At 43.9% G+C, this 4,200-nt stretch overlaps 1 annotated feature.

Moving 5' to 3' along the window:
- Positions 2,614 to 3,813: an enhancer, noted in NCBI's record as "P300/CBP strongly-dependent group 1 enhancer chr18:8521740-8522939 (GRCh37/hg19 assembly coordinates)". NCBI's record gives its function as "activates an origin of replication core promoter dependent on BRD2, BRD4, P300/CBP, MED14 and CDK7 cofactors, with strong dependence on P300/CBP, by STARR-seq in HCT116 cells {active_cell/tissue: HCT116}" and the evidence as "EXISTENCE:reporter gene assay evidence [ECO:0000049][PMID:35650434]".

Here is a 4,200-nt window from a genome sequence, read left to right as displayed (position 1 = left end):
TATCCATAATGTCCTGTACAAATATAACATAACTGATTAAAGTAACTTAAAAACAATACTCTGGCAGTGTATCCTCAGGGGAATATATTCTAAAGACAAAAATAAAATTAAGAGGCAAAGACATTTTAAACTTAGTATTGGATGTGTTTTTTAAAAATGGTGTTGGCACCTTAATACTAAAACTCTTGGGTGTGAACTGTGGGTTAGCACACAGGAATCAATATATCCCTGTTTTGGGAAGCAGGGTTTTCACTGTGGAAGAAGTGGAATGAGAGAAGCTGTGGAAGAAGCCTGTGTTACTGGATTTGATACTGTGGCTTCAAACACCAACAATACTATGTGTTCCTGCTGTGAAGTAGTGAGAGGTTCAGAAATTCACCAAACAGTGTTCTTGCCAGAAATGTTGCACCTAAATATAGTCACAAGGAAAGGGACGAATATAGAATGTGGGATGTTTTGCAGGGACCCTTCAAAGGACTCATTACCAGGTAGAGTGAGGGGATAGGATTGTTCTATATTAAGGAAGAATAACAAGGCATAGCACCCAAATGCTAAAGTGTGAGCCTTGATTTTATTCTGAGTTGAAAGGAAAATGAACTATAAAAAACACCAGTGGGACAATTGGGGAAATTGTGTTAGATTCTTTTATTGAATACATGTTTGTTTCCTTAGTGGTGGCAGAAGCATTGTAGTTGAAGGGTCTAGGGGGCCTGTCGGGCACCTGTGTCCTCCTTTCTAATGGTTCAGCAAGAAGGAGGTGTGTACACAGAGAGCCAGCACAGGCAGGGTATGGTGTTAGCAGTGGGTGGGCTTGGGGCAAGTTCGTTGTATTGCTATTTTGAAAAATGACAATTTGGGTGCCTCGGCTCATGCCTGTAATCCCAGCACTTTGGGAGGCCGAGGCAGGTGGATCATTGAGGTCAGAAGTTCAAGACCAGCCTGGCCAACATAGCGAAACCTTGTCTGTACTAAAAATACAAAAATTAGCTGAGTGGTAGTGGCACACGCCTGTAATCCCAGCTACTTGGGAGGCTGAGGGAGGAGAATCACTTGAGCCTGGGAGGCAGAGGCTGTGGTAAGCTGAGATCATGCCACTGCACTCCAGTCTGGGTGACAGAGTGAGACCTTGTCTCAAAAAAGTAAAAAACAAAAAAATTTAAAAAAAGGAAAAAGAAAAATCAAAATTAAAAGATGAATAAATTTTAAAAGTGTGCCACAAAACTTCAACCTTTAACATTTAAAAAATTCTCGTGGGAACATACCCGTCCTTTTTTAGTTTTTGCAGAAGCACAACTGAGCTTGCTTTGTGACTTAAATGACTGAGGCACACTGAAAGAAAGGACAATAAGGAGGACATCCTAGAGAAATCTCTCCTGGTGAGGAATGCAATGCGCTCTCCTCTAGGAGAATGTTTCCTCAAAAAAATGGCTGTTTTTCCTTGAGTCTTCATCCTGTCACTTCCAATGGCCAAATACCCAAACCCAGCCACCCCAGGTCCTCTAGAAGGAGGGGATAGTCAGATACTAGGCAAGAACCAGGAACCCTAAGGATATGACTCCTCTCCTCAGTGGCACAGCTCCAACAGAGGTCCCATCTGGAGAAAATGCTGCCTTAAGATTTGAAAATAAAAGCTTTTTGTTATGTACAGAAGCTAAAAACCTGACATGGCTTTACCTCTGCTGGTCACTTAGGGGCACAGGATAGCAAGGGACGAGCTCTCTCTCTCAGATGTGTTTTGGCCGCATCCCAGAGGGATGAGAAAAAATAAAAGAAAAAGAAACAGTAAGACCTCCTGATGCTTGGGCTATCCAGCTGCTGGAGTGGCCATGAAATCTGCTCTTCTAAACTTATTTCAGTCACAAGTTTTTCTTCTACTTACCTCTGAGCCTCTCCCTTAAGAGGGCATGCAGACAGCACAGGGTGAAGCCAGTGGCTTTCCACAAGGACCTAGAACACGTGGTGGCAGCTGACCTAGATTGCTTTCATGTCTAGATAGGTCGTACATACTACATATGTGCCACAGATAGGATGGCAGTGCACACACAGGCAGTAAACATATGCACGTTAAAAGAATGTACATAAATGTCTTGGTTTGTTACAACAGGGAAACGCTTTGGGAAGTCTGATGCTCCCTCCACATCTCTGATCCCCCTGAAGGTGTGCTTGTATGCCTGCTCCCTTGTTTTTCAGAAGTGGCTGTGACGGAGCTGGTGTAGACAAGTATGCCCATTTGGCTATTTGTCTTTTTCTGGAGTGATCTGACTCAGTGCTTCCTCTTTCTAGACAACAGTTTAGAAATGCTGTTCATCCCGCCCAGAGATTAGAGGGAACAGGACGGAAAATGTGGGGAGGGGAACCAGAGAGATGAGTAGGGGGCTGGAACTGGAAGCACTTTCACCTGTGATGGAATCTAATGCTGTAGGAAAGAGCGAAGGACTTGGTCAAGGCTGAGTGACAAGAGGAGCCAGTCCCAGAGGGACAATTTGTTCTCCTCATCAGTTTTTCTTCAAGGAGCAGACAACCTAGGACCCTCTCTTCTGTCATCTCAGAGTTGAGTCCTTCCACAACACAAGGATTGCTGTAGGCTTTCCCAACTGGGTCCGTGCCACAGTGAGTAGGTGGGTCCCATGGATGATGGAAAGGTCTTGGTCTCCACATGGAAGCAGCACCTAATGGTGGGGGCTGAGGATCATCAGCAAACAGGTGTCCGGTCTGCCTCCAGTGATGCCTCCTTATGGCTTCCACGTGTTAAGGGTGGGCTCAGAGCAGCAGGAGGCAACCCAGAACATGCTCCACATTCAAGACGATCTTCCTCCATCCAGCCAAGAAGGCTACATCCGTGAAAAGATGGACGTGAGAGAGCCCTCCTTGTTTGGAATGTGCAATGTCTCACAGAGAGAAGGGGGGTCAAGGAAGGGACACCCTGGTAGCAAGTAATTCCTCTGGAAGCGCTGACTTTCTTCAGGATTCCCTCTTGGCGCAGGCATGCAATTATCCTGTGTTTTGTCTTTTAAAATTGTCTGTTTCAATGCTTCAAAGCATATTCTGAAAATGATTCATCACATCCAAGTTCTCTACATCCTCTTCTCACACATTCTAAGGGAAAACAAAGATGAACAGAGTGGTTAGGTTATTATGTCTCTGTTTGTAGCTACTAGCAGGGCATTAGATGAAGAAATCCATAGAACTCAAGAAGTTCTATGCACAAGAAGTTACTAGAACAATAGATGAGAAGATTTGTTCTGGATTGTTATCCTGTATCTTCTGTGGAAAACTTTGTTTTTAGGATCAAAATACTGCTTCGTAAAGACAGAATATTCCTCATGCTCCTGCAGGAGACATCTTCTGTCCTATTTCTTGGAGCTGTCCAGACAGGAGTCCTCATGTGGATGGCCCTGGCCTGCTACAGCTCCTCTGTTTGCGCCGCACACTGGTGTTGGACTGGGAGGAGATGTCCACATTTCTCCAAGTGAGCCTTCTCTTCCAGTCTGATTTCCCAGTGATAAGGGTGGTAATGGGAATAGTGGGAGTTCCTGCCATTTGGGAAGAGAGTTTCTCAGGCATTTATGTCTAAGTTTTAAGATAGCCAGTCATCGTGGCTAGGCTTTATAATTTTCTCGGCTGGCATTATGATGTGCTAGAACTGGACGATTTTCATTTCACCTTCAGCTTGCTGTGGTTTCCAGAGCGGAGCTGAAATTGCTGAGCACACTTAGAATTCAAATTTGGAAAGACAGAAAAAGTCTTCACTTTCATCATAGTCAATATCTCAAGATTCATTAGGGAAAATCTTGAAATTTAGAGATTTTTCTTTTCCAGAAAGAGAGTGCCTCAACTTCTAAGAAGTTTTTTATTTTTTAGACGGAGTCTGAATCTGTTTCCATGACTTTTCCAGCTGCTAGTGGCCACCTGTATTCTTTACCTGGTCCTTTTCTTCCATCTTTAAAGTGCATCACTCCAATCTCTGCTTCCATAGTCACATCTTCTCCTCTGACCCTGCCTTCTCTTATAAAAGTAATTATATCTGTAATTATATCAGGCACACCCAGCTACTCCAGGATAACCCCAAAATCTCAAGAAACTTAACTTAATCACATCTGTAAAGCCCCTTTTGCAATATAACACTCATAGGTTCCAGGGATTAGGACAGGGACATATTTGGAGGAGGGACTATTATTCAGCCCACCACAGGAGGTAAGT

The sequence above is a fragment of the Homo sapiens genome, chromosome 18 (assembly GCF_000001405.40).
Source record: "Homo sapiens chromosome 18, GRCh38.p14 Primary Assembly".
In the NCBI taxonomy this organism is placed as follows: Eukaryota; Metazoa; Chordata; class Mammalia; order Primates; family Hominidae; genus Homo; species Homo sapiens.
This window is presented reverse-complemented; position numbering and strand designations above follow the sequence as displayed.